Source organism: Homo sapiens, chromosome 1 (assembly GCF_000001405.40).
Source record: "Homo sapiens chromosome 1, GRCh38.p14 Primary Assembly".
NCBI classification, from domain to species: domain Eukaryota; kingdom Metazoa; phylum Chordata; class Mammalia; order Primates; family Hominidae; genus Homo; species Homo sapiens.
Window position 1 is genome coordinate 932,423 of NC_000001.11, and position 27,601 is coordinate 960,023.

A 27,601-nucleotide genomic window follows, 5' to 3' on the forward strand; every position below is an offset into this window, starting at 1 on the left:
CTAGGATGAGTTTCTGAATCTCCCAAGGGCGAGATTTCGGTCAGAGGGGAGGGCGTGCTGGGGTCCCCGGAGGAGAAGGCCCAGCACACGCCTGAGTGGACTGAAGCCTCCGCCTGTTGACCTGACCCTGGTGTCCGGTCAGAGCGGGTGGTGGTCCCTGAACCCACACGGGCTCCCAGACCATGTCTGTGTTTCTTTCAGCCTGTCCCTGGGTCCTTCTGCCTCTGCAGGCTCCCACAGAACACACTGCCAGGCCACCTCCATCTGTGTGTTCATTTGCTCCCGTCCAGTGGTCTCCACCCATCTGTCCGTCTGTCCTTCCATCCCCTTCGCCCTGTCTGGCTGGCTCTGCAGTGACCACCTGCCTTTTGGAGCCAGCGGAGCCCCAGGCCGTCCTCCTCTGCCTCAGGAACCCGGGGTGGCAGATGCTCCTCGAGCCATTGTTTGCAGGCGGGGGCTTGGCCCCTCTCTCCTGGGCCCCTGAGCTGGTGGGAAAATGGGCAAGGGCTAGGCCGTGTGGTCATCAATGAGGGGCGGTGGCGGGAGGCCCATGCGTGGGCAGCTGGGGTCACACCTGCCAGGCTCTGGCCTCCCCCTCCCCCTCTCCTTCCTGCGCCTCCTGCCCCAGCCCTGACTGCTTCTCCCAGCTTCCCCACCTCCTGACCTGCAGCCCGGCCCCACCACAGAGACTCTCAGGGGCTTCGTCCCTTGTGCGAAGCAGGGTGCAGAGGGCATTCTGTGGTTCGAGGACCATGCGCTGATGTGCCCGGGCCGGGTTCCTGCTTCTCCACTCTGGGACGTCCAGGGCGTGTTTCTTTACATAAAACTGGCATAACTGGCTCACTGAGTGGCCAAGTGACCAGAACAGGTTTTCAGGGGCCGGGCCAGGCCAGGCTGTGTCGGAACCTCAGGAGCAAACTCCAAGGCAGAGACCAGGGGCGGGGAGGGCAGGTGGCACCCAGCTCCCCACCAGGTGCCACTGCCCAGCCACAGCCCCTCCACCCAGCTATTAGGCCCTCCCTCACTTTCCTTCTGGGCGCCAGGCTCGGGGCTCACTGCCAGCCCCCAACCTCTGGAGTCTCTGGGAAACTAGTTCTCCTCCTGCAGGCGTCCTGGGGACACCAGAGGGGGGACCCCTGGGGAGAACTCCATGGCAGCTGTGGCTACTGCCAGGCCAGCCCTCAGCCCCCACCCCATGCTGAGGCCAGCAGTCCTCTCCTGACACCCCCGCGTCGATTAGGATCATGGAAGGGATGAGTCTCGCTGCCGATTAATCCCATAAAGTACTTACTCCCACCCAGCTGCCTTCCTATGTGCCTGGGGGGGGCTTCCTTTCCCACTGGGAGCCGGTGGGGGTGGGGGAGAGCCGTCATCTAGGTCTCCTGGAAGGTTTAGAGCCCAGCCTGGGAGTCTTTGGTGCTGAAACGGATCTGCTTAGGGGCAGCCTTGGATTAGCCCAGCTCCAGCCAGCCCAGGTCAGGGGAGCCGGGAGCTATTTAACGAGGTTTAGGGTAGGCTCCTAGGTCACTGCGCAGGACTGCTCCGTTACAGGTGGGCAGGGGAGGCGGCTGCGTTACAGGTGGGCAGGGGAGGCGGCTGCGTTACAGGTGGGCAGGGGAGGCGGCTGCGTTACAGGTGGGCAGGGGAGGCGGCTGCGTTACAGGTGGGCAGGGGAGGCGGCTCCGTTACAGGTGGGCAGGGGAGGCGGCTGCGTTACAGGTGGGCAGGGGAGGCGGCTGCGTTACAGGTGGGCAGGGGAGGCGGCTGCGTTACAGGTGGGCAGGGGAGGCGGCTCCGTTACAGGTGGGCAGGGGAGGCGGCTCCGTTACAGGTGGGCAGGGGAGGCGGCTGCGTTACAGGTGGGCAGGGGAGGCGGCTGCGTTACAGGTGGGCGGGGGAGGCGGCTGCGTTACAGGTGGGCGGGGGAGGCGGCTGCGTTACAGGTGGGCAGGGGGGGCGGCTGCGTTACAGGTGGGCGGGGGAGGCGGCTGCGTTACAGGTGGGCGGGGGAGGCGGCTCCGTTACAGGTGGGCGGGGGAGGCGGCTGCGTTACAGGTGGGCGGGGGAGGCGGCTGCGTTACAGGTGGGCGGGGGGGGCGGCTGCGTTACAGGTGGGCGGGGGAGGCTGCTCCGTTACAGGTGGGCGGGGGAGGCTGCTCCGTTACAGGTGGGCGGGGGGGGCGGCTGCGTTACAGGTGGGCGGGGGGGGCGGCTGCGTTACAGGTGGGCGGGGGAGGCGGCTGCGTTACAGGTGGGCGGGGGAGGCGGCTCCGTTACAGGTGGGCGGGGGAGGCGGCTGCGTTACAGGTGGGCGGGGGAGGCGGCTGCGTTACAGGTGGGCAGGGGAGGCGGCTGCGTTACAGGTGGGCAGGGGAGGCGGCTGCGTTACAGGTGGGCGGGGGAGGCGGCTCCGTTACAGGTGGGCGGGGGAGGCGGCTGCGTTACAGGTGGGCGGGGGAGGCGGCTGCGTTACAGGTGGGCGGGGGAGGCGGCTGCGTTACAGGTGGGCGGGGGGGGCGGCTGCGTTACAGGTGGGCGGGCGGTGCTGCAGGAGGACTGCTCAGGGAGTGGCGCCTGGACCCTGAGCCCCTTCTCTGCTGACTGGGGAGAGGCTCACGGAACCGGGAAGGGGTGGAGGGCCGTGCTCCACACAGTTCGTCTCATTGCTCTCTGGGACTCTGTGGATGTGGGATTGGGCTGAATTAGCAAGAAGAGGAGAAATGAGGGAAGAAAAGAGTTAAATGCATGTTGATTCCAAGCCCCCGCCTGCCGGGGGGACAGCGGGAGGTTGGAGCACGCAGCCCTGGTGCCTGGTGCGAGCTGCACGTGTCTGCCGGTGCCGTGTGTGCGTGGGGCGCGTCTCATCAGCTGCAGGACTGTGGTCTGGGCCTCAGTTTCCTCGTGTGCAGAAATCGGGGGTCAGGGGATGGTTCACATGTGGCACATTCTCTCCTGGGGCCTGTCCTGCAGGACTGCCCCTGAGCAGATCGGCCTCTTCCCGGGCGCCCGGTGGGCCCCTCGACCCCCTTTGAGGCAGGGAGTGAGATAACTGTGATTCCCTGTGGAGGGCGTGAAGGCAGAGCCGGCTGGCTGCTCCACATAGACCCTCCCTGGAGCAGCCGTGGGGTCCCAGGTCCCAGTGCCAGGTTCTGTGTCGCTTTGACTCGGGTGCTGCGTGGGTGTGCACACAGTGGCGTCACGGGCCACATGCCGAGGCGTGGGCACAGCAACGTGGCACTCAGAGGTCATCCCCACGCTCACACACAGAGCTAGGCACTCCCTGTGCCCAGGCTGGGCTCCAGCCTCGCAGCTGCCCACGGGGTCAGCTTTTCCCGGTCTCGTTCTGCAGCCAGGACGGCAACCTTCCCACCCTCATATCCAGCGTCCACCGCAGCCGCCACCTCGTTATGCCCGAGCATCAGAGCCGCTGTGAATTCCAGAGAGGCAGCCTGGAGATTGGCCTGCGACCCGCCGGTGAGGAGCACAGGGGGCCTGAGGGCGGGGTCGGGGCTGTGGGGCCAGAGGACGGTGGCGTCTCCACTCAGCACCAGCAGCCTTGGCAGGCAGCCAGAGAGGCAGGAGGAGCGGCCTGTCCCCCAGGGGCTGCATGGGATGGTAATTGTGTTAATCCCAGCCAGCGGGGCAGACAGGAGGCAGAGGCGGTGGCTCCGCTGTGGCTGCCGCTGGGGTGGGCTTGGAGTAGCCGGGGCCCTGCCACCCCCTTTCCACAGGGCAGACGTAGGCGTGGCCTCAGAGGTTCAGAAACGCACACCCTGGAGGAACGCACGCACTCCCGCAGCGCACGCATGACTGGTCCCGCCTCCTAGGGCTCCTGGACGGAAGGGGTCCCCGGTCCCGCCTCCTAGGGCTCCTGGACGGAGGGGGTCCCCGGTCCCGCCTCCTAGGGCTCCTGGACGGAAGGGGTCCCCGGTCCCGCCTCCTAGGGCTCCTGGACGGAAGGGGTCCCCGGTCCCGCCTCCTAGGGCTCCTGGACGGAGGGGGTCCCCGGTCGGTCCCGCCTTCTAGGGCTCCGGGAAGGATGGGGTTCTCGGGAGGGAAGGGATCCGGCGCCTGAGGGAGGTGCTGCTGCCTGGTCACAGTTGTGGGGGGACCAGGCCCCCCTCAGAGGGCACTGCTGTAGAGAGGGGCACAGCAGAGCCTCAGCCCCAGGGCAGGCCGTGAAAGGAGGCGGGGGCGCCCCGAGGCCCTGTGGACCCCAGGCAGGGGTGTTCCCAGCAGGGCCTGCATCTCTTGGGAAGGAGGGGTGGGGGAGGCCCACCCCCATCTGTGTCCCCCATCCATGGCCCCCATCCGCGTCCTCGTGCACCTAGGAAGGCCCTTGTGGGGCTGGGTGGGGGCAGCTTCTGATGCCGCGTTGGAGACAGCTGAGAGGCGGTTGATAAAATCTAATTGCCCCATCGATCCAGCAGAGCGGAGGGAGCCCCACAATGATTGAGATATTCTGAGCCAGCAGGCCCTCCCCTGTGCCTTCACACAGGGAGACCTCCTCAGGTACACGCGTGTGCGTGTGCCGGCATGTCTGTGTCTGGGGTCCTGTGGGGTGCACGTGATGGGGGTTGCCCGGCAGCTCTCACCCATGGAGTCAGGACGTGTTCGTGCACTTCCGGGCTCACAGGCTCTACGGGGCCTCACGTGTCCTGGACCCGTGTCCAGGTCTCCCATACGCACTCCGTGTCAGGGTCTGGCCCGCTCCCCGGAGCCTCCTCTTGGAGGGGCATTCACCCTGGGGGGCGTTCACCTCTTCTCCCTTCCTGTGACCCCAGGAACCACACATCCATCCTGTTCCCAGCCCGGGCCCTCCCGCTAAGCCGCACCTCCCTGGGCCCTGGGCTGTGAGGGACTCAGAGCAGGTCCTGCATCTGCCTCTGTGAGACCCGCTGGGGTCCATGAGTGAGGAGTGAGCATGGCCTCATCGGCCTTCCTGCGGTCTCATTGCAGGCCCCCTTCCACCTGCCCCCCCCCCCACCCAGTCACCTCCCCCAGGCTAGGAGGAGGCCTTAGCCCCCCACAGAACGGAGAGGGTAGTTTCCACTGTGTACAATGGAAAAGTGATTGCCAGGAGGTGAGAGGCCTTGCTAACCCTGAGGGCATGTGCATGGTGGGCCAGGTGGCAGGTGTGGAAAAGAGCCAGGTTCCCCCAGCCTTGGCCCACCCCCTCCCAGCCCACCGAGCTCTGGCACGGGAGGCTGTGGGGGAGACGATGGCTTCTCAGGGGCCTGAGCAGTGGTGCCTGGATCCGTGTGTGGCCAGGTGCCCCCCGCCGCCCGCCGGGCCCAGCCACCCGATCTGTCACCGAGGTGGGGACCCTGGACCAGACCGTGGGACTGACCCTCTCTCTGGGGCCGGGCCTGACAGCAGCCGGGCCAGGATCAATAAGTTATTAGCACCACTCTGTCAGCTGTAATGTGGGATTGATCGGTGTGGCCGCCGCACTTCCCCAGCCTGATAAAAATGACAGATTAAGGGAATAAGAAAAAGGAATTAGGCCTGGAGCTGACGGCAGGGCTTGTGGGGGGACGGGCTTGGGAGCCCCACTGCCTAGGCCTCATGGAGGTCTTGGGTCACAGGGGAGTGGCCCCTCACTCCACCCAGCTAGAGCCCTCATGAGGATGAGGAAGGGCCAGAGTCGGAGGCACTGGCTGGCCTGGGAGACCCCCAGGGCGTGGAGTCAGGGGCTTCGGAGGAGCTCGGGGTGGGTCGGAGATGGGTACATGGATGGTGTGGTCTGGAATGGGTGCGGTCGGCAGGACCCAAGGGAGGACCTCAGGAGAGTGAGCTGGGCCTGGCCTGGGCCTCCCCTCTGCCACCTGCTGGGCTGTGTTTGGGGCTGAAGCTGGACCTGGCCTGGGCCTCCCCTCTGCCACCTGCTGGGCTGTGTTTGGGGCTAGGGCTGGGCTGGCCTCGTGGCTGAGGAGGTGGGTGAAGCTACTGGGAGGTGCACCCCAGAAGCCCAGAGCCTGGCTGGGCTGGTGGACAAGGGCATGACAGCCACGCCAGGGTGCTAGCTCAGGCAGGACTGGGCCAGAGAGGAGGACGTGGGCCTTCTGGGGGCAGGGATGGGTATGACCAAGTAGGAGGCCTGGGAGTGGAGGCGCCTCGAGGCGGCCTGGGGGGCCCACAGCCCAGTGACTCACAGAGCAGCAAGAGGTCAGGTGTGAGGTCCTTCCCGGCTTGTCTCACCCCACGCTGGCATGTGACCCTGCACAGCCCGCCCTCACTCCTGTCCAGGAGGGGAAGGTGGTGCCTGGTCAAACCAAAAGCTTTTTATTCTCCTCTAGGGGGATGAGAGGGGGGCTCGTTAACTTGCACAAGAGGCTAGATGGCGGGTGGGGCAGCTGGGTGCCTGCTGTGGATCTCTTCTGCACACACGCACCAGGGCCAGTGTCAGAGCTCCCCTGTGCCCCTGTCCCGCCACAGCCAGGCGTGATGTCCTCTGCGCTGAAGGCTGGGGCTGCCAGGGCTGGGCAAGGCCTGTACTCACCAGGACCAAGGGCCCCCTGAGAGATGGTGGGTGCGGTCCAGGCTGAGCTGGAGCAGGGGCTGGGTTCCCCTTCCATTCCTTGAGATGCAGGTGGGCACTCACTACCCTCCCGCAGGTGACCTGTTGGGCAAGAGGCTGGGCCGCTCCCCCCGTATCAGCAGCGACTGCTTTTCAGAGAAGAGGGCACGAAGCGAATCGCCTCAAGGTAAGAGCGTGGCTGGGACGAGAGACAGGTCACCAGGGGAGGGGGCAGTCCCTGAGGGTCCCCTGGACCTCGAGCAGGCACTCTAGAGGGGCGTGGTCCTCGGCAGTGCCTGGAGAAACCTCTCACCCCGGGTCCTCCCCAGCAGAGGCGCTGCTGCTGCCGCGGGAGCTGGGGCCCAGCATGGCCCCGGAGGACCATTACCGCCGGCTTGTGTCAGCACTGAGCGAGGCCAGCACCTTTGAGGACCCTCAGCGCCTCTACCACCTGGGCCTCCCCAGCCACGGTGAGGACCCACCCTGGCATGATCCCCCTCATCACCTCCCCAGCCACGGTGAGGACCCACCCTGGCATGATCTCCCCTCATCACCTCCCCAGCCACATGTACTCGGCCATTCCTGTTGCTGAGGCCCTGCTGACACCAAGGCCAGGCTGGATGCAGGTCCCTCTGCCACACGTCCTGCCCCATGCCCCCTGGGGCGGGCCACACCTCCATGTCCCCTAGGTCCCCAGGGTCATGACTAGCTCACATTTTATATAGAGAGAAATGGAGTCTGGGGTGGACCCAGGTGAGGGTGGGCAGTGGGCATGTCAGCAGCACCCCCCGAGGAGAGCAAGCTCCTGGACCCTGTGGTCTGTGAGTCGTCTATGCAGCCAGTGGACGCCGACCTGCCAGACGCCTGCCCCAGGAGCCTGGGGAGGGGCAGTGAGCAGAAAGGCCGGGCTGGGTGCAGTGGGCACTTGGCCACCAGGACTCCCCAGGTGCTGAAGAGACGCCAGCTGGAGGGGCTGCCCCTTCCCCCGGGTCGGCCCTGACCCTGTCCACCCCACCTCAGGACGTTCTCCAGGGGTCCCTCCGGGATGCACTCGGACCCCCTGCCCGCTGCACTCAGCCTCCCAGGCCCCAGCCGCCCGCCTGGCAGGGGAGCTTGGCTTTTCGGGCTAGAGGTGGGTGGGGGCGCCGGGAAAGGAGGCAGGATTCCTCACACCAGGCACCGTCCCCCAGGGCAGCTCAGGCACCAAGAGCCTGAATAATTCACCAAATGTTAATAATGTAAAAATCCTCCTTTTTAATTGCTTTCCCTGCTCTGCCTGGGGCCGCTCTGCTGGCCGCGCGGGGGAGGGGCGCCGGCCGCCGGGGAGCGCGCTGTCAATCAGGCCGCGCCGCCGCCCCCCCCCCCCGCCCCGCCGCGGAGCCGGCCGTAAATAACCCTGTAACTAACCCGGCCGCTAGCGCGGGGGCGCTGGGCCCCGCTGGGATCGATGCGGGCGGCCGCGCCGGCTGGGCTCTGCGGGCTGGCACCCGGCCCGGGGCGGGACCCACCTCCGCTTTCGGGTAATTAATTTATAAACAGAGGCGGCGGTGGAGCTGGCGGAGCCTGCATAGTGGGGGCTGCGGGGACTCGGGAGGCCCGGGCGGGAGGGAGAGGCCGAGAGACCTGGGACGCGGCGCCTTAGACGCGGGCGCTGCGTGCGCATTGGGGCGAGTGTGGCCACGCGGGACAGTGACCCTGCGCAGCCGGGACTGGGCGACCCCTGTGCTAGTGTGGCGTGCGTGCGCGGGCGCTGCCTTGCCTTTGTGACAAGCTTTGGCCAGCCGCGTCTACTATGGGGACCTCAGATTTTCTTGCCTCCCACCGAAGAGGGGGTCCCCTGGGCGGTCAGCCCCTGGCTGGCACTTCTGGACTCTCTCGCTGCCCCGCAGGCTCTGTGGCCTCGGGACGTCTGCACAGCCCCCTCCCCGCAAGGCTCAGCCGCCTCTCAGGCCGGAAGCCTCCAGGCACCCGGCTCCCCTTCGGGGAAGAGCTTTTCCCGACACTTCCTCGCCCAGCATCTTGTCTGCCGTCTCGGCCCTGTGGCCGCCCATCCTCCTGCCCCGTGCCCGAGACCAGCCCAGGGGCCGAGCACGGCCGAGTGGTGTGGTCAGTTCCCCACCTCAGTGTTCTACGCCAGGACGCGGGCTGGGGAGGATGAGGGCGCATAGCCGGGGGGATCACTGCTGTTGTCCCCCACCCAGATCTCCTGAGGGTCCGGCAGGAGGTGGCGGCTGCAGCTCTGAGGGGCCCCAGTGGCCTGGAAGCCCACCTGCCCTCCTCCACGGCAGGTCAGCGTCGGAAGCAGGGCCTGGCTCAGCACCGGGAGGGCGCCGCCCCAGCTGCCGCCCCGTCCTTCTCGGAGAGGTACTGGGGTGGCTGCCGTTCTCTGCTTGTTTCTGGGGTGCCGCCCGCACCCCCGCGCTCTCAGCCACCAGCACGCGCCCCGAGAGTGCCAAGCACTGTGTTCAGCTCTAGGTTCGGGTCCGGGCAGAGCGTTTCGGGGGTGACACCGATCTGGGCTGCAGTGTTGAGGGCGCCACTGGGGTGCGTGAGGGAGGCTGAGGCCCATCAGGGGGTTCCCTGGAGGAGAAGCCAGAGAAGGGGAGAGCTCCAAGTCTGGAACCCCGGGGTCAGTCGGGAGGGGTCGGCCAGAGGACTCAGAGCTGGAGGCGGAGGGGGGGTCCTGGCTGGCGCTCAAATGTAGACGCCGGCGCCGGATCTGTTCCCGGCACAGACAAGGCCTCCGGCACAGACCCGGGTTTCTCGGGTCCAGGACACGAGGCGGGGCGGGGCGCCTGGAGAAGGGAGGGGCCGCCTGAGGCCCGAGTCCCTGCCCGGCCGCTGAGCCCGGCGTCTGCAGCTGCCTCCACCGCCGCCCGGATTGCGGCTAATGACGCCCCCGCTTCCCCCGCCGCTCGGGTCCGCAGGGGAGGGGAGCAGGCGGGGCCGGCGCCCCGCGCAGTAATTACCGCTGCAGCCGTCGCCGCCCGCCGGGTCAGCGCCTCCGCGCCGCCGCCGAGATTAATTGGCGCCGCCGGCGGGGGCGGGGATGGCGCGCGACCTGGGGCCGTAACGAGCTGCGCATCGACCGCCCGCGGGGCCGGCAATTAGCGGAGGCGGCGGGGGAGGGGCGCCGGGGCCTTTACGGGAACGGGGGCGGGGGGGACGCCGCTCATTGCGCTGCCGTCCACAGGGAGCTGCCTCAGCCGCCCCCCTTGCTGTCGCCGCAGAATGCCCCTCACGTCGCCCTGGGCCCCCATCTCAGGCCCCCCTTCCTGGGGGTGCCCTCGGCTCTGTGCCAGACCCCAGGTGAGGAGGCGGGTGCGCATCCCCTGGGAGCCCGCGTGGAGGCTCGCGGACCCGGCCCTGCCCCTGTCGGAGCCGAGACGGACCGGGTAGGGGATTGCAAAGGGCCGGCTCGGACCGCCTCGGACCCCCCGACCCCGCGTTGTCCCCCTCCCCACCAGGCTACGGCTTCCTGCCCCCCGCGCAGGCGGAGATGTTCGCCTGGCAGCAGGAGCTCCTGCGGAAGCAGAACCTGGCCCGGTAGGTGCGGGGAGGCGGGCGGGGCCGCGCGGCCCGGGAGGCGGCTGACCCGCGTCTGCCCCCGGCCCAGGCTGGAGCTGCCCGCCGACCTCCTGCGGCAGAAGGAGCTGGAGAGCGCGCGCCCACAGCTGCTGGCGCCCGAGACCGCCCTGCGCCCCAACGACGGCGCCGAGGAGCTGCAGCGGCGCGGGGCCCTGCTGGTGCTGAACCACGGCGCGGCGCCACTGCTGGCCCTGCCCCCCCAGGGGCCCCCGGGCTCCGGACCCCCCACCCCGTCCCGGGACTCTGCCCGGCGAGCCCCCCGGAAGGGGGGTCCCGGCCCTGCCTCAGCGCGGCCCAGCGAGTCCAAGGAGATGACGGGGGCTAGGCTCTGGGCACAAGATGGCTCGGAAGACGAGCCCCCCAAAGACTCGGACGGAGAGGACCCCGAGACGGCAGCTGTTGGGTGCAGGGGGCCCACTCCGGGCCAAGCTCCAGCTGGAGGGGCCGGCGCCGAGGGGAAGGGGCTTTTCCCAGGGTCCACACTGCCCCTGGGCTTCCCTTATGCCGTCAGCCCCTACTTCCACACAGGTGGGCACCCCCACACTCTAGATCCTTCCAGAGGGCACAGGACTGGCAGGCCGCCTGTGGAAGGGTCTTGGGGGGAGGAAAAATTCCCCTTAGGCACCCATCCCCCACCTCAGCAATTGGGGCACACGACGGTCAGGAGACGGGCGGGTATGGGAAAGCCAGCCAGAGCCCTAGTAACACGCCCCACAACTCAGGCGCGGTAGGGGGACTCTCCATGGATGGGGAGGAGGCCCCAGCCCCTGAGGACGTCACCAAGTGGACCGTGGATGACGTCTGCAGCTTCGTGGGGGGCCTGTCTGGCTGTGGAGAGTACACTCGGGTAAGGGGGGGCCCCAGTTCCTGGGGCGGGGCTGGAGCTGGCTGGCAGTCACTACCTCCCTGGAAAGGATGGTGGGGTAGGGCCATTCCCCAACGCCCTCTCCCTCCCCAAAAGCAGTGCGCAGCAGGGACTGGACTGTGCACCCCACCTTTTTTTTTTTTTTTTTTTTTTGCCAGGTGTTTTCTGCCTGACACTCAAACCCAACAGATCACTGTTTTTAAAAAATTTCCGTGAGCTGCACAAACAGCTCCTCTTGGCTCTGCTGGGCTGGAGGATGGAGCAGCACCCGGGTCCTGACCCTCCCTCCCTCCCCCTTCCAGGTCTTCAGGGAGCAGGGGATCGACGGGGAGACCCTGCCACTGCTGACGGAGGAGCACCTGCTGACCAACATGGGGCTGAAGCTGGGGCCCGCCCTCAAGATCCGGGCCCAGGTGAGACGCTGGGGAGTGAGGTCAGGGTCTCCAGACCACAGCTGGGCAGAAAGCTCTGGGTGGGTGTGCGACAGCCCCCACCAGGCCATCTCTCTGCAGGTGGCCAGGCGCCTGGGCCGAGTTTTCTACGTGGCCAGCTTCCCCGTGGCTCTGCCACTGCAGCCACCAACCCTGCGGGCCCCGGAGCGAGAACTCGGCACAGGAGAGCAGCCCTTGTCCCCCACGACGGCCACGTCCCCCTATGGAGGGGGCCACGCCCTTGCCGGTCAAACTTCACCCAAGCAGGAGAATGGGACCTTGGCTCTACTTCCAGGGGCCCCCGACCCTTCCCAGCCTCTGTGTTGAGGTTGCCGGGGGTAGGGGTGGGGCCACACAAATCTCCAGGAGCCACCACTCAACACAATGGCCCTGCCTCCCACCGCTTTATTTCTTTCGGTTTCGGATGCAAAACAAAAAATTTTAAAAGAAAATGTGACTTCAAAGGAAAGGAACAAATTTTCAAAGACTTGGGGGAGTGAAGGCAGAGCCTGGTGCAGATGGACGAGGTCTGCAGACGGAGGGCAGAGGTGGTGGAAGGGGCCAGGGGCCTGCAGGCCTCCCCCTGGAACTGGGACTGGTCTCGGTCTGCTGACGTCAGGGTCAGCTCCCCCGCGGAGCTGACTTCAGCAGCCCACAGCTGTGGGGCTTCAGCAGCCACACCAGCCCAGCCCAGCCCAGCTCTCGATACGTTTGGTCTTTCATGCTGAAAAATAAATAATAAAGCCTGTCCCGTGTCTACTGCCTCCCCCAACTGCACAGACGCCAGCCTCTAGGCCTGACTGCCAGGGAGGTGGAAACACTGGCCACCAGCCCGGCAGCCCCTACAGGCCCCCCAGATGGGCTGCCTCAGTCGTCCTCTGAGAGCTGCAGATCCTCCAGCTCGTCCTCCGGCCCCTGGGCCAGCTGCTGCAGCTCCCCAGGGGCCAGCCCCGCCTCTGCGTCTGGGTCTCCATCTGCGGGGAGAGATGGAGGCTACATAAATTTTGCTTTATCAGGAAGAAGCCAGCCTTAGAGGTTACTCATCACTAATTAATCACGGCACTAATTAATTTATCCCTGTTGCTGGCTGCCAGAGAACAGAGCATTTGGCCTGGCCTTCCCAGGGAGGGAAAAGCCTGGCCCAGAGCCCCACGCCCCCCGCCCACGTGGCTCTGCCCTCCCGCCAGATGGGCTCACAGGGCCACACCCTCTCACCCCAAGACCATTCACCCTCCGAGTTGCTGCTGTCCTCCTCGCCCTCCTCCTCGTCCTCTTCATCGTCTTCCACCCCATGCCGAGTGCTCAGGGGCCTCAGTATCCCTGAGGAACAAGAAGCAGAGTCCATATGACTCCCACCCACAGGGTCCACCAGCAAAGTCACAGTGGGGGCAGGAGGGTGGCCAGGCTCCCAACACCCTTCCCTCCGCTGACTTCCAGCAGGTGGAGAGGAGCCCTGGGGAGGAACTGGGAGGTCACAGGCCTGGGGACAGAGTTACCAATCCCAGTAGGCCTTCACTTCAAGGAGGGAAGGCGCTGGCACCAGAAGCCTGGCAACACTGAGGTTGGCCCCAGCTGGGCCAGAGACTGGTGAGCCCCCTGCAGGATGGGTACAGGTGGCCCTCGTGGCTCTGGGAAGTCCAGCAGAGCCCTCCAGGCCCACCCTTCCCCTGGGAGCACCACGCAGGCCCCACCTCTCTCCGAGAATCCCTCGGTGTCGTCCTCTTCAGAGCTGTTCAGGTCAAAGAGGTCTTTAAATTGCTTCCTGTCCTCATCCTTCCTGTCAGCCATCTTCCTTCGTTTGATCTCAGGGAAGTTCAGGTCTTCCAGCTGGAAGGCCAAAGAACCAGGGGCTCAGGTGAGAGAGGGCAGGGGCTGGCGGCCACAGCAGGGCCAGGCATCGCCAGACCCACCACCAGGGCCCCATGTGGCCAATTTCTAGTCCCCTCTGTTCCCAAATCACAAAGCCATCCTCCAAGTTGTCCATCCCATGTCCAAGGTCAAAGGCAGAGCCCTTCCTGCTTCTCCTCACGGGCCCCTGGTGCCCACATACTGGCCTGGGTGACGAGGTCAGTCCAGCCACTCCACCTGCCCGGAGCCTCCAGCCCATCAGGCCTGAGGGGGCATGGCCTCCCCAACCTAGTGCAGCCTGGGGCTTCCCCTCCCTGGAAACGCCTGGTTCTGGCCAGTTCTCCAACACCTACCCCCTCTCCAAGTCGAATCATCCGGGCACGGCCCTGGCCGCCTGGCACTGTTTCCAAACCCTCGCCCTGGTCTCAAGTCATAGTGCGCTAGATCTGAAACCCAGGAAGTCACAACACACCCCCAGGTCCCCTCGCCGAGCCGCACCCGCTCTTTGCCACTGATCTCCAGCTGGATCTCCCGGTCACGCAGCTTGCGCCAGTGGCTGTAGTACAAGGTCAGGGGTGTCCCCTCTTCCCGGGTCAGCTTCTCCCAGGCTTCCTGGGGGGTTGGGGGAGTTCAGGGTCATGCCTCACCCTGGGCAAACCCCCACATGTAGCTGGGGCTATACCCTGGCAGGTGCCCTCAGGTGGCACTACCCCCAGGGCCCACTAACCACTGCCTGCTGCTCAGAGACGCCGAAGGAAACCCTCTGGCGGCGGCTGCAGATGTATGCCGAGTTCTCCTGAACCTTCCCAAGCAGCTGCTGCACCTGCCGGCAGTAGTTGGCCACCTTGCACTCCCGGAGGAACGACTTCAGCTGCGGAAGGGAGGGGTCAGCCACTGAAGCCCAGGACCGCTCCATGTGCACAGCTGGCCCAGGTCCTGTGCAAAACCACGCGTGGTGGCCACGGGGATACCCCAGGAGGGGACATGGATCCCATCTCAGGGCTCAAGTGCATAGCTGTTGCAGCTGGGATGGCAGAGGCAGAATCAGCCCACCCTCTGGGCCAACCCTGCCCACTACTCACCTCTGGAAATAAAGTTTTATGCCAGGCGTGGTGGCTCTCGCCTGTAATCCCAGCACTTTGGGAGGCTGAGGCGGGTGGATCACCTGAGGTCAGGAGTTCAAGACCAGCCTGGCCAACGTGGCAAAACCCCGTCTCTACTAAAATACCAAAATTAGCTGGGTGTGGTGGTGGGCGCCTGTAAACCCAGCTCCTTGGGAGGCTGAGGCTGGAGAATCGCTTGAGCCCAGGAGATGGAGATTGCAGTGAGCCGAGATCGCACCATTGCACTCCAGCCTGGGCAACACAGCGAGACTCCATCTCAAACAATACTACTACTACTAATAAAATACAGTCTCGCTGACGTGCAGCCACACGTGTGCATTGCATGGTTCTGCAGTTGCCTGTGCAGCTGAACATCCGTAGGAAGCCACGTTTACCATTTGGCCCCTCACCAAAAACATTTTCTGACCCCTACCCCAGACCCCGACCCTGGGCCCTTGAGTCCAGAAGCAGAGATGCCCCAATGCCAGGTATCACCACCCAAGAGGACATGGGAGGAACAGAGGCTGTGGCCCCTGCTGTGAGTGCCCCCCAGAAAGGGGGTCCCGGCTCTGTGCATGTGACATGTGTGGCCGTGTGTGAGTACACACACATGCACACACCTCTATCTGGATAAGCCTCTGACCAATTGTGGCTCATGTGAGCAGATCCCTCCTCCCCACACTGCACAGACCTATAGTCGGCACATCTGATTCCAGCCACCAGGGCCAGACAGCAGGGCCCCCACCCCTTCCACTAGGCACAGGCCTCCCTGAGGCTGGAAACATCACGGCTGAGAGCAAACAGACCTCCCGTGGGGGCCCAGAAGGACCTTCTGAGGATAAGGAGAACCCCCTCCTCCACCCCACTCCTGCCTAAGATGAGGCTGACGTGGGGTATTTAGCGGGGCAGGCTGGGCCTTCCTATGAGGCTGATGTGGGGTATTTGGCGGGGCAGGCCAGGCCTTCCTGCCACCTGAGAAGCCACTCCACCCACTCCCCACACCCGGGATGGCCTGGGGAAGTGTGCGATCAGCGTACCAGCCTGAGCCAGGGTCGGCATGCTCAGTCCCAACCCCGAAGCAAAGATCAGCCTTGTGGTTCCCACCTGGGGAGGAGGCTGTTGTGCTCCCAGGGTCCTCAGCCCACTGCCCAGGCCTGCCCCCAAACCTCCTGAATGGCTTAGAACCCCTCATCAGCCCCTCCAAGGGGGCCTCACGGGGCGCGTTGCCAGCAGTCAGGTTCCACCCCAGTCCCAGGTACCCGGGACAAGGGCACCTCCTACCAGCCTGGGGCAGCCAAGCCCGTTATAAGACAGTCTGAGTCGGCCACGAGCCGGTGTGGGCAGGACACACACCTGCAGGACCACAGGCAGCACCAGCTCCGGGAAGCCGATGCAGTGTGCCTGGCTGTGCAGGTACTCCAGGGTGAGGTCGTACAGCTGCTCCACCAGGCCGTCCTGAAGAGCAGGAGAGAGGGCCGAGTGCATCAGGGAGAGGCTGGGGCTGGGCACTCAGGCCCCTTCCCCTCAGGCTGTCAGGGCAGCGCCATCTCCAGGGCACGGACTGCAAGGAAGGGGCTCCTGGGCCCCAGCCCTGGGAGACCATGAAGGTCCATGCTTGAACTTGGAGGATGCCAGCCCCCTCCCATCCACCTCAGCACCCCCAACCCCACCCTGGGAACTGCCCAGGCCCCTCCCCAGGAGGCCAGCCTCACCCGGTACGCCTTCTCCTGCAGGTTGACATTGGACAGCTTCAGGATCACGGAGAAGTTGATGGGCTTGGAGCTCATGCGCCCTGGCTTCCTGTTGAAGTCGACCTGCTGGAACATCTGCCCCAAGGGCCGTGTCAGGCTCTCTCGGCCCCATGCCTGGTCACCCTGGCTTCACCCTGGCTGCACCCTGGTCCCCCTGGTCCCTTTGGCCCTGCACCTGGCTGCACCCTGGTCACCCTGGTCCTCAGGCTTCAGCACGAGGAGACCCAACCCGAAACAAGAGATAAGCAGCTAGGCACGGTCCCAGCCCCATGGCCCCACACAGCCTGGCGTGTCCCCGAGTGGGGCTCTGATCAGCAGGGAAGGATCAGGAACACGGGCCCTCTCCCAAAATCCTGGGAAGCACTAAGGACCCACGTCTGGAGACCTAGAGGTCCCTGCCACACAGAGTACCAGGACAGCCCCCATTCCTGACAACATGGCACTGAGGCCCATCCTGGCCCTCAGCACAGCAATGCCACATGGGGCTCCGTCCCGAGCAACCAGAAGACGCAGCAGCAACAGCAAAGAGTGCCAGACACAGGACGGGACAGATGGAGGTCACGGGAGGCCTGGGGGGCCCCTCCCACACCCTCCACAGAAGCCACAGGCCATGCACCTCCGTAGGACATGCCAGGAGGAGCAGAGAAAGAGTCAGCCTGGCCTCTCAGTCTTGTGACCCCTCCCCAACCACTAGGAGCCCTCAGGCTGTGAACCAGAGAGATCCAGGGTACATGCTGGGGCACCAGAGGACAGAAGCAGATTATGGGGGGCCCAAGGGTGGAGGCCCCAGCAAGACACCCCACTCAGCAGGGGTGGCTGCCAGACAGCTGAGCTCAGGTCCAGATGGGAAAACGCCCTGGTACTGATGAACCTCTGGGAGGACACTGCCCTTCTCTAGCCTGGGCCAAAAGTATGGGCAGGCGACTGGCTTCCTGTCCAGGCACCGGGGAAGGGCAGGCACGGCCTACAGCTGAGGGCTTTGTTTTAGCTTTTAGGGTTTGCTTTTTCCGGAGAGGAGAGGCCTGCATCCCTGCGTGAGAGGGGCCTACAGGGTGCGGCTGCAGTGAACCAGGGCAGTGCACAAGTGAAGAAACAGACACTGCAAGAGAGTAAGAAAGCACGTAGCCAAGGAGATTGGACAAGGGAAACAGACACAAAGCATGCCTGGAGCTGGGCAGCAGAGCTGGAGGCCCACAGACACAGGGGCCAGGCCAAGGGCTGGGCAATCAGAGACCACTGCTGGCTGCCATGGGAGTGAACATGGCTTCCTAAAGATGTTCAGCATCCCTGCCTCAGTGGAAGGGGAATCAGAACGTGCCTGGGGCTTCCATACCTTCTGGACCCAGCAACCTGGGGACCCAGCCCCAAGGACAGCTGTGACACGACTCTGGGCCTTCATGAGGCTGAGAACTCATTAGATAAACAGGGTGGAGATCGTGAATTCCTAAATTTACAGCGGGGTGGGGCCTAACCCACCCACTGAAAGTTGAAACTTCGGACTCCAATCTTTCCCTACCTGAGTGGCATGTGCACGTGCAAAGATGCATACACACAGGTACACACAGGCGCACACATGCACAGGCACACACGTAGACGCACGTACATGCACACAGGTGCACACACGCACAGGCACACACAAGCAGACGTGCATGCATGCACCCAAGTGTACAGGTACACGCACAGGTACACACGCACAGTACACACATGCAGATGCAAATGCATGCACACAAGTGCACACAGACACGTGTGTATGCACATAGGTGCACACAGGTACATAGATGCACGCAGACACACATGCATGCACACAGATGCACACATGCAAAGGTTCATGCATGCACAGGTAGACACATGCAGACGCAAATGCATGCACACAGGTGCACACACGCACAGGTACACACATGCAGACAGGTGCACACAGGTACACACGCATGTGCATGCATACAGGTACACACAGGTACACACTGGTATACAAAGACACATGCACAGGTGCACACACGCAAAGGTACACGCAAAGGTACACACATGCATACACACAGGTGTACACACGCACAGATGCACACACCTGCAGGCACACAGGCATTCATGGATACACGTGCATACACACATACAGATGCACACATGAACTGATATGCACACACACACAGATTTACAGACCCATGCACCCAGATGGTGCACACACACGCATGCATGCACAGACAAACGCACCCACCCAGATGTACACACATCCCCCATACAAATGCATACACATGCACACAACTGTCAGGGCAGGGCACTGTTCAGTGTACAGTTCAGCAATCAGACTTGGGTTTTGGCCCATCTCGCCTCCTGCCTACTCCAGTCTTGGGCAAGCACCTACAGGGTCAGGTCCCGGCATCCTCAAGCACAGCCCTAGCAGCAGCCGCCTTCATCCCCAGTGGTCCCACGTTCCCCAACACTGCCCCCAGCACACGGAGGAGCACTGTCCTCGTGACACCCGTGACAAGGAGGCGGCCAGGGCTCCGGGAAGTCGCCGGACAACTCAGCACAGACGCCCGGAGCAGCAGATGCTCCCTACAGGAGCAGGCAGAGGTGCCACACGCCCACCACAGCCTCACTCACCTCCAGGATGAAAGGCAGCACCGGGATGAAGGCCCCCGAGCTCCCCGAGAGCAGCGTCAGGGCACGGATGCAGTGCATTCGCAGCGGGTAGAAGCGGGCAGTGGGGATGAGCCTGGGGGTGGGAAGGCCGAGTGAGCAGAGGCCCCGGCTCTGGCAGCCCCTGCCCCTCCCCCTGCTGTCTTGGACCTCCTCCCCCACTCACCGACATCAGACCCCTAAAGCAGGACAAGGCACGTCTGAACCCCAGGGACCTGCACCCCTTGCCCAGCTATGGGGCTGCAGGTACCTTACCCAGCTTTCAGCTTTATTTCAACACGGTGGCAGGGGTCATCTGTTCCTGCCTGCTCTCCTCCCTGTTCCCGCCTTTCCTACTTCTTCCCTTGGACTTCCCACCTCCCTTCCCAGCCTTGAGTTTCTAAGGCTCAGCCAGACAGATGCCCCCTCCTGGCCAAAGAGGCCACAGTACTGCTCCCACCTTTTCCTGCTGCAGCCCCTACCGTGCCTGGACCCTCCTAAGCGCTCACACCCAAAATGCAGTTCACTGCATCAGATGTGCTCCACCCAAGAACCCCACGTAATGAACCAAACTCACTGCAAACTGCACACAAGCCCCCAGAACACACGCTGGGTGGCACCCGAGGCGGCTAAACCGCTGTTGGAGGAGCTCATGTCACAGGTGCCCACCAGCCCTAGCTCTCCAGAATCCAGAGCATCTCCCCGTAGCAGGTACAGGGACCCCAGCCCTTCCTCAGGGACGGCCAGGACACAGACTCAGGCCCCAAGGCCCTGAACGCCAGAGGCACCGCCCACACAGTCCCAGCAAATTTGCTTCTCCTGACCCTCCCGCACAACCCTGCCCACCCCACAACTCACTTGATACAGCCAATGATGACTTGGGCAAGGGGGTAGACCAAGGGCTGGAGGGCTTCGCTGGGGCCCGCAGTGCTCAGGACCCGGCACCACAGGAAGAGGCAGTGCACATACTGCCAGTTGTACACAGACTGGTATGTTTCCTGGTCAGAGAGAACCACGTCAGCTACTGGCCAGGCTGACAAGTCAGGCTGATGCACGTTCCTCCTGGGCCGGCACAGGAATCATTTCCTCATCTTGCACACGGGGTCTCAACCCATCCACCCTTCCCCCACCTGCAAGGACCGACTGCACCAGGGTGCTGGGCTGTCTCCAGACAGGGGCTTCGGGGAGGCCCCAGGCCCTGCCTTGGGTCGGGCACCTGGGCTGCCCCACCCCATGCCCAGCATGAGCCTGGAAGGGCCCCACCACACACCTTCTTGCGAGTGGTCATGGCGTTGCGCAGGTGTATGGCGAGCTGGCGGATGTAGAGGAAGGCGTGCTGGTAGGCCACACCCGGCTCCAGGGCCAGCAGCTCCGTCAAGGTCCACTGCATGAAACTGATGAAGGGGAGGGCACCAGGCGAGGTGAACTTGCAGTTCCTCACATACGTGATGTACATTTGCTGCGGAGAGACCCGGGTCAGAGCCACCTGGGATCAGGGCCATGCACCTCCACCGCCCACTCCAGGGCCCCTGTGAACACCTGGGCCTTTCCCTCAGAGCTGGGCCTCGAGGAAGAGCCGTAGCCCCTTGCACAGCCCCCACCCCCAAGTGCCCACCAGCCTCAGGCCTGGGAGAAGCTGGGGCAGAAGCTCCTGCTGCACACTGGGCCCCTCTGGGGGCTGAGGGTCCCCACATGCAGGCCACCCATGGCTTGGGGACGGGCAGTAGGACTGTACCCTGGCCATGGCCTCAGGTCCCAACACCCAGTGTCCTCCTCCAGCCAGAGAGGCCCTCCCCTGGGGAAGCTGTGTGAAGCAGGGTCCAGGTGGGGCCCTGAGAAGGCCGAGGGCTCTCTTCCCTGCCCACCACCCCCAGGTGCTCTGTGAGACATTCGTGATCCAAGGGCCCAGGTCTGCTCAGAGCTGCAGTGAGGGTCCAGTGAGGGGCACCAACCACAAAGGCAGCCCGCCCTGCCCTTAGGCCGAGATTTCCAATGCAGATGCTGAGGGACACAGACGCAGGGCCCACCACTACCTTGAGGACGGGGCCAAGGAAAGTGTCCTTCTTGTGCCGGCAGACTCTGCTGAGGACCAGGAAAGCCAGCACCCGCAGAGACTCTTCCCCAGTGCTCCATACGATCACCATTCTCTGCAGAAGGTCAGACGTCACTGGTGGCCCCCCAGCCTCCTCAGCAGGGATGCCCCAGGGCCAGCACAGCCCTCCCCAGCCAGGCAAAGGCTCCCATGGCCACCAGCTCTTCCCAAAGCACCTCGGGGGAGCCGTGAGTTAGGTGCTCAGTTACAGAAGTGAACAGAACAGGTGTGTTGCTCCTTGTGAGAAGAGGACCACAAAAGTTTACCACGTCAGACACGCCGACGTATGTGAGATCACACCGGGAAGAAGATACCTCACCGTGGCTTTGCTCACGGACTGAGCCGCGCTGCCCGGGCAGGCAGGGACTGCCTGAGACAGAAACCCCAGGTGGGGGTGGGGGCCAGGTGCTTCTGTGGCCTCTCTAGCCAAGCGGAGCCAGTGGAGTGTGGGCACCACCTGTGCCCTGGCCAGGAGTGGGATGTGGTGGGGGTAGCCGTGTGGCCCCCCGACCCCATGACAGACACAGGGAGGGGACTGGGCCACGAACCTTGAGCAGCATGCGGCACTGCTTGGGGAAGGTCAGGAAGCAGGGCACCAGCACGCTGATGTGCCGCAGCACGGCCGCCAACACCGTCGTCTCCGACAGACAGGACACCAGCTGGGGGCAGGAGGGGACAGTGAAGCCCCAAACCCATGTATTCTGGGATACAAAAAAGGACCGACCACCAGATACAGCCAGGCCCCCGTGCCCTCCCCACCAGAATAGCACCTGTATGGCCGAGCCCAGGTAAGCCTTGATGTCCACACGAAGCTTCCCCCAGAGCGGGCTGCTGGACGGCTGCAGCATCCTGCAGAGAGACCACCCACCCCTGGCTGGGAGGCCCCACGGCTCGGACGCGAGGCTGCTCAGCATGTTGGCGCGTGCCCTGGCCAGCATAGCCTCTACGACTCTGCAGAGACCCCCCGTCTCTCCACTCAAAAAAGCTCAGGGCCCCTTACAGCTGGACAGACACAGGGGCTTAGGAGGACCCTCTCAAGTGCATTAGCTCCTCCTTCAGTGGCCTTGAACTCCTGTCTGCCCTGCCCAGGGTTGGCCACCGCCCTAAGAGTCCCCGGAAGTCCCAGCCTCCAACTCCCTCTCAGACATAAACCTTTTCTAGGTCCCCTTGATCACATCCCCACCGTGAGACCACACGAGGTCCCTAAGCCCAGCAGCTGGTACTCAGCACCTCTGGGGTCGCCCAGGCACCACCAACTGCCGCAGACTGGTTTCCTTTGGCCCACATTTGCTGCACAAAGAAAAGAAAATCAGAGGGCAGGTGTGGAGACTCATGCCAGTACTCACTGCACTTTGGGAGGCCAAGGCAGGAGGATCAAACTCCAAGCCCAGGAGTTTGAGACCAGCCTGAACAACACAGTGAGACCCCGTCTCTACAAAAATATACAAAATATTATCCAGGCCTGGTGGCGGAGTCCCAGTTACTTGGGAGGCTAAGGTGAGAGAATCACTTGAATCCAGAAGGTACGTGTCGCAGTGAGCTATGATCACTGCATTCCAGCCTGGGCGACAGAGCAAGATCCTATCTCGTAAGGAAAAAAAAAAACCAAAAACCAAACAAACAAAACAAAACAAAACAAAACATTTACCAGAGCCCACGCAGTAGGCGCTCACTAAAATCTGCTGAAGCATGGGAAGGACAAAGGGCAGGGCCCCAGAAAGGCCCCCCGTCCTCGACCCTCCTCACACCTGTGCTGACACTGGCTGCTGGGCACCTGCAGCTGCCCACCCAGACCCAGGAGGCAGCTCTGCTCCCCACGGCCTGACTCCCTCCGGTACAGCTGCTGCCTCGACAGGGGTCCCTGACCTGGTGGCTCAGGCTGCAGTGCGTGCTGCCTCCCAATCGCTGCCTGTCCCTCCACCCCCATCTGCCAGCTTCCTTGTCCCCTTCGGACAGCACTGCCTCCATGTGGACATGGCTCTGTTCTATCCGTCCAGCCCCGACCACTACCACCAGCAACAGTGCCCCTGTCTCCTGAGCCGCTGTCGGCGAGACCTCTCCTGTGGGTCTCCTTTCTTCCTTTGAAGGTGTCCTGGGGCAGTTCCAACTCTAGGCCTCCACTGCCTCAAGGTCACATGGCTGCACAGCCCCGGAACCCCAACGTGCTCCATGCTCTACCAAATGCTTGGCCGTGCGTCTCTCTTCTCTGAAAACCTTCCACGGCCTTCTCTGCCCAATCTTTCTCTAAAGGGGAAGTTGAGGCCCTCAGGTTCTCAGCATTGATGAGGCCCCTGTCTACAGACACACACAGCTCCAGGAAACAGGCCAGTCATAGTGCAGAGATCAAGGAGTATGGACAGGACTTACAAGTTCTTACAAAGGGAAATAGAGCAAGAACCCTAACCTGGGAAAATCTGAGAGCAAAGGCAGCTGCACACGCCACACCTTCTGAGACTCTGAGCAGACAACTTCCCTTTTCAGGAAGGAAAGAAGGTGGGGCCGCTCCAACTGGCCCCAAGTGCCCAGCCTCTCCCAACGGTCCCTCGTGCCCCGCTGCCTTCTCAGGGTCCCCAAGAAGACGCTGGCTCTGTTGCCATGTCTCTGTCCTAGCCACAAGGCCTCTGGCTTCTCCTGTGTGTGGTCCCGACCCACCTTCCACCCTACCCCCCTTCACCCCCTCCCCTCTTACCTGCTGCTATCCTTTGCCACCTTTCCAAACAGCAGCTTCTGGAGACAGCCAATGAGGTCTCTGATGCAGAAGGTAACCAGAGCATTGAATGCTGCAACGAAAAGGCCTGGATGTACTCACGGGACAGAGAACGCAACAGACAGCCTGGATGCCAGGCTCCCCCCAAGCTCACCAGCACTGTCCGTGACCTGGAATTTGTTGGCCTCAGCACTTTCCTGGTCCCCTCGGGTGGTGGCCACAGCTGCTCGGAACGCCTGTACCACTTCATGGAACAGCTTTGGAGTGAGGCGTTGCTGAAGGAGCAAGAGTACCAGGGGCGTCAGGGGAGCTGAGACTGCACTTGGCAGAGTGGAAACGGCAGCCCCAGAGAAAGGCACCCTCACCCTCACCCTCAGACATAGGGCAGAGGTTGGGGGGAGGCACAGAGCCCCATACTGATAACAAAAATGGAAACAAAGTCTAGAATTCTCTGGGAAGAGGAGGGAGTCTGGCTCAGGAGCCCCAGGAAAAGGACTGGGAGTTCCAGATCCTGGACTATGGCCACCTCCAGGTGGTATCTGGAGCTCTCCGTATCCTTGTCCCTGGAAAAAAACACTGTGAGAGGCTCAGAAGGACCCCAGCTCCACCAACCAACAAAGGCACAGTCCGTCCCACCCACAGCGGGACTGACTTTGGGGAGTGGGGCGCCAACAGAGCCCCTGGAATCTACCCAAAAGTGAACACACAGTCCTGGGGCAACCAAGCAAGCAGGAGGAGCAACGTGTTGTCACTTGCGCTGAAGAAGGCTCCAAGCGTCCCCTGCGTGGAGAACAGCCCCTCCCACCAGCACAGCCTCAGGCGCCTCAGGTGAGGCAAGGCCAGATCTCTGCCTGGGCACCCAGCTGCCCGCCCCTCGCTGCTGCTCACCTCAGGTGAGGCAAGGCCAGATTTCTGCCTGGGCACCCAGCTGCCCGCCCCTGGCTGCTGCTCACCTTTGCTGCCTGCTTCCATCTCTCAACCATGGCGACGGTCACAGGAACAGAATTCTTCTTCCCCTTCAGCCCTCTGGGGACTCTGTCCCCATCTTCTCCTTCCTCCGCTCCATCCTCCTCCTCACTGGCTTCCTGCACAGAAAGGCTGAGCTGAAGGAGAGTGTAGAGACAAGTGCCCCCCTTCTGGTTTGGCCCACGCCCTCACCTCCAGCACATCTGGCAGGGAGTGGAACGGCCCCTCTTCCTCCTCAGAGCTGTCCGAGTCGCTGAAGTTTAGCAGGCTCTGGTCATTCTCCTGCAGGAACTTGTAGAACTCGGGGTCTCTGTCCTTCAGCCGAGAGAGCTGGTCTTTGTGCTCAGAGGCACGGCCTTTACGCCGGCTGAGGAGGCAGAAGTCAGCGACCCCAGTGGGAAGTGGAAGTAGAGGGGGCGGGGAGTGGCCTACAGGGTCAGTCTACTCCCTTCACAAGGGTTACCAACTAGCAAGACAGGATTGCCAGGAGGTACGTTTTTGGCAGACTCACGTCTCCTACCCAACAACCTCTACAACATACCCTCAAACACACTACACAGGCCCCCCAGCCGCGGTCTTCCCTGGACTTGCTGTGCCTGCGCCCTGCGCTACACAGGCCCCCAGCCGCGGTCTTCCCTGGACTTGCTGTGCCTGTGCCCTGCGCTACTTTTGCCTGATGGTGGCTTCACCCTTCCAGAGGCTCAGACTAAAGGCAAATCTCTGTCTCTAATACCCAGCACGCAACTTGTCATCAGATCTCATCAGCAACACCTTCAAAACCGTTCGTGCCTCCTCTCAAACCACCACATAGTTCAATTCTCAGTTAACCTAAAGGTCTCTCTGTTTCCACCCTTGTCACCTACAAGGCACTCCACCGCTCAAACCCAGAAGTAACTCCCTGTTTTACGAGGCAATCTTATGACGGTCTACGGCACCTGGCTCTTCATCACCCTTCTGGGCTCATCTACCCCTATTCACCCCCTCACTCCTGCCGTAGCCACGTTTACCTCTGTACTCTCCCCAAATGCTCCCACTGCAAGGCTTTTGCTGTTTTCTGCTGCCTGAAATCCTAAGACACGTTTCCCCTACTGTCTGTGTGGCCTCCTTGTTCGAGGTCTTTATTCAGACGTCATCTTCTCAAACAACCACCTCCGCTTTTTTTTTTTTTTTTTTTTCTCCTGAGGCGGAATCTCACTCTGTCGCCCAGGCTGGAGTGCAGTGGCGCAATCTCCACTCACCGCAACCTCCGCCTCCCGGGTTCAAGCGATTCTCCTGCCTCAGCCTCCCGAGTAGCTGGGACGACAGGTGTGTGTCACCACGCCAGGCTAATTTTTGTATCTTTTGATTTCTTTCTTTTTCTTTTTGAGATGGAGTCTCACTCTCTCACCCAGGCTGGAATGCAATGGTGCCATCTCGGCTCACTGCAACCTCCGCCTCCCAAGTTCAAGCGATTCTCCTGCCTCAGCCTCCCGAGTAGTTGGGATTACAGGTGCCCACCACGCCCGGCTAATTTTTATATTTTTAGTAGAGACATGATTTTTCCGTGTTGGTCAGGCTGGTCTCGAATTCCTGACCTCAGGTAATCTGCCCGCCTCGGCCTCCCAAAGTGCTGGCATTACAGGCGTGAGCCACCGAGCACAGCCTCCGCTCCTTCTAACAGAGCAACTCGGCTCCCCTGCAACTCTCTCTTCAGCCCCTCTGTCCTTCCTTTCCCTCCCCAGCACTTATCTCTCTTCTACCGAACTGCAGGCGGTGATTTCACCCAAGAACGTGAGAGTTCTCCTAGATCGGGAAGAGATTTTTGCACAACTCACCAACATACGCTCCCTGCCTAGGACAGAGTTTGGCACGGAACAGGAGCTCAGTAAACATCGGATGAAAGAGTAAGTTAAGCTGAAAGGACTGGGGGGCAGAGGTCGGCGATCCTTAGGCCTTGGCCCTGAGACCCCAGGCGAGGTCAGCAACCCAACCGGGGTGGGACAGGACGAGCAAGAGGTTCTGCTCACGCATGTCCCCACTAACCTGGCCGAGGGGCTCCCGCCCGGCTTATCCGGACTCCGGGCAGCCTCGCGTGCTTCCCGTGTCTCCGCTTGTGGAGAATTTTCGGACTCGGATTCGGACTCGGAGTCAAAGCCCGAAGCTAGGAACTCGTCCACCGTCAGCTCCGCCAGGCGCCTGCGGGTCACGCAGGAGTCACAGCTGCCCGCACGCCCAGCTCGCCCCAGCCCCGCTGAGAGGAGCAAGAAAAGCCCCCTTGGATACAGACACCCACCGGGAGGCCAAATCGGCCCTCGGACCCGCGGCTTACCTCTTGCGGCTCCCCGCAGCTGCCATGACACCAACCCGAAGCGTGCACCCCACTTCCGGCCCCAGAATGCCGCGCGGCTGCGCACTTCCGCCGCCCAGGCCCCGCCCCTTTCCCCGCCCCGCCGCGCCACGCCCAGCCGAGTGGCTCTATGGTTCTCCGACCGCAACGCCGGCGGCCTCAGGGCGGGAGGGCGCGTTCGCGTGCTCGGTGCGGGCAGCCCCGGTGGGGCCCAGATGCGCCTCCCGCTCGGCGCCCGGCTCCGTAGGACGCGGTGACGCCGGTGTCCGCCCCGGGGAAGACCGGGAGTCCCGCCGCGCCCGCAGCCCACCCGGCGCTCCGAAGGCACGCGCCTGCGAGGACGCCAGACTGCAACGGCGGGGCTCCTATGCAAAGAGCTCCCACAAATCAACAATAAAAAGCAGGGAGTCCAGTGGAAAACGCGAGGGGCAGTGGGAACCGCACTGATGTCGCCAGCTCGACAAAAGACGGGCGACCCGAGGGCCAGGCTGGCTTCGCCTCCGATCCGCGGAGACCGGGCCAGCGCCACGAACACCACGCAGGGCGCTCCCCGTCCATGGCCCTCTGGGTGCCGACCGCGGCTCTTCCCGGGGACGCCGCACGGGACGAAGACGGTGGGGAGGCCGGCGCCTTCCTTCCCGCTACCAGCCTGACACCCGGGCCCCCGGGCCTGGACAGCCAGACCCCGCGACAAGGGCGCCGCGGGGCGCAGGCACGGCTCCCCCAGCCCTGGCGCTGAGGGGGCGCGTGAGGCGAACACGGGCGGATTGGCCTCGGGGTCCCATTCGACT

The 27,601-nt window shown here is 63.3% G+C and overlaps 2 protein-coding genes across 4 annotated transcripts in view, besides 9 other annotated features; one reads left to right on the plus strand and one right to left on the minus strand.

Moving 5' to 3' along the window:
- Positions 1-12,152, plus strand: part of SAMD11 (sterile alpha motif domain containing 11) — a 20,652-nt gene extending 8,500 nt beyond the window's left edge. The window contains exons 5-14 of one of the 3 annotated variants that reach the window (NM_001385640.1): positions 3,350-3,474; positions 6,618-6,707; positions 6,850-6,990; positions 8,722-8,884; positions 9,714-9,829; positions 9,988-10,066; positions 10,137-10,636; positions 10,831-10,955; positions 11,276-11,386; positions 11,486-12,152. In NM_001385640.1, the coding sequence (NP_001372569.1) occupies positions 3,350-3,474; positions 6,618-6,707; positions 6,850-6,990; positions 8,722-8,884; positions 9,714-9,829; positions 9,988-10,066; positions 10,137-10,636; positions 10,831-10,955; positions 11,276-11,386; positions 11,486-11,731 (1,696 nt within the window). In that variant the 3' untranslated portion in view covers positions 11,732-12,152. Of the gene's footprint in view, positions 1-3,349; positions 3,475-6,617; positions 6,708-6,849; positions 7,039-8,721; positions 8,885-9,713; positions 9,830-9,987; positions 10,067-10,136; positions 10,637-10,830; positions 10,956-11,275; positions 11,387-11,485 lie in introns of all 3 variants that reach the window. The other 2 variants (NM_001385641.1, NM_152486.4) reach the window with 2 other exon arrangements.
- Positions 5,513-6,224: an enhancer, noted in NCBI's record as "H3K4me1 hESC enhancer chr1:873315-874026 (GRCh37/hg19 assembly coordinates)". NCBI's record gives its function as "activates a minimal SCP1, AML or CMV promoter by ChIP-STARR-seq in primed H9 embryonic stem cells {active_cell/tissue: H9 hESC(primed)}" and the evidence as "EXISTENCE:reporter gene assay evidence [ECO:0000049][PMID:30033119]".
- Positions 5,951-6,000: a silencer, noted in NCBI's record as "silent region_4". NCBI's record gives its function as "represses an Ori minimal core promoter by ATAC-STARR-seq in GM12878 lymphoblastoid cells {active_cell/tissue: GM12878}" and the evidence as "EXISTENCE:reporter gene assay evidence [ECO:0000049][PMID:35858748]".
- Positions 9,222-9,291: a silencer, noted in NCBI's record as "silent region_5". NCBI's record gives its function as "represses an Ori minimal core promoter by ATAC-STARR-seq in GM12878 lymphoblastoid cells {active_cell/tissue: GM12878}" and the evidence as "EXISTENCE:reporter gene assay evidence [ECO:0000049][PMID:35858748]".
- Positions 9,362-9,561: a silencer, noted in NCBI's record as "silent region_6". NCBI's record gives its function as "represses an Ori minimal core promoter by ATAC-STARR-seq in GM12878 lymphoblastoid cells {active_cell/tissue: GM12878}" and the evidence as "EXISTENCE:reporter gene assay evidence [ECO:0000049][PMID:35858748]".
- Positions 10,794-10,933: an enhancer, noted in NCBI's record as "active region_4". NCBI's record gives its function as "activates an Ori minimal core promoter by ATAC-STARR-seq in GM12878 lymphoblastoid cells {active_cell/tissue: GM12878}" and the evidence as "EXISTENCE:reporter gene assay evidence [ECO:0000049][PMID:35858748]".
- NOC2L (NOC2 like nucleolar associated transcriptional repressor) lies at positions 11,781-26,834 on the minus strand. Its single transcript, NM_015658.4, has 19 exons — positions 26,793-26,834; positions 26,507-26,659; positions 24,677-24,851; positions 24,472-24,603; positions 23,673-23,793; positions 23,501-23,591; positions 21,582-21,660; positions 21,360-21,470; positions 20,753-20,866; positions 19,990-20,178; positions 19,578-19,717; positions 18,705-18,816; positions 16,068-16,181; positions 15,709-15,810; positions 13,980-14,123; positions 13,751-13,864; positions 13,096-13,231; positions 12,635-12,724; positions 11,781-12,378 (listed from the first exon to the last, which is right to left on the minus strand). The coding sequence occupies exons 1-19, from the start codon at positions 26,816-26,818 to the stop codon at positions 12,272-12,274; spliced, it is 2,250 nt and encodes a 749-aa protein (NP_056473.3). The 5' UTR covers positions 26,819-26,834; the 3' UTR covers positions 11,781-12,271.
- Positions 26,102-26,959: an enhancer, noted in NCBI's record as "H3K27ac hESC enhancer chr1:893904-894761 (GRCh37/hg19 assembly coordinates)". NCBI's record gives its function as "activates a minimal SCP1, AML or CMV promoter by ChIP-STARR-seq in naive and primed H9 embryonic stem cells {active_cell/tissue: H9 hESC(naive and primed)}" and the evidence as "EXISTENCE:reporter gene assay evidence [ECO:0000049][PMID:30033119]".
- Positions 26,102-27,097: a biological region, named in NCBI's record as "H3K27ac hESC enhancer GRCh37_chr1:893904-894761".
- Positions 26,618-26,727: an enhancer, noted in NCBI's record as "active region_5". NCBI's record gives its function as "activates an Ori minimal core promoter by ATAC-STARR-seq in GM12878 lymphoblastoid cells {active_cell/tissue: GM12878}" and the evidence as "EXISTENCE:reporter gene assay evidence [ECO:0000049][PMID:35858748]".
- Positions 26,838-27,097: a silencer, noted in NCBI's record as "silent region_7". NCBI's record gives its function as "represses an Ori minimal core promoter by ATAC-STARR-seq in GM12878 lymphoblastoid cells {active_cell/tissue: GM12878}" and the evidence as "EXISTENCE:reporter gene assay evidence [ECO:0000049][PMID:35858748]".

Excerpts from the sequence above, each read along its gene's own strand:
- NOC2L (NM_015658.4), bottom strand. The coding sequence starts at position 26,818 with ATGGCAGCTGCGGGGAGCCGCAAGAG. Across the intron at positions 23,794-24,471 it reads GATGGAAGCAGGCAGCAAAG|CAACGCCTCACTCCAAAGCT; the intron begins GTGAGCAGCAGC and ends TTGCTCCTTCAG. Across the intron at positions 21,661-23,500 it reads GTGGCAAAGGATAGCAGCAG|GATGCTGCAGCCGTCCAGCA; the intron begins GTAAGAGGGGAG and ends GTCTCTCTGCAG.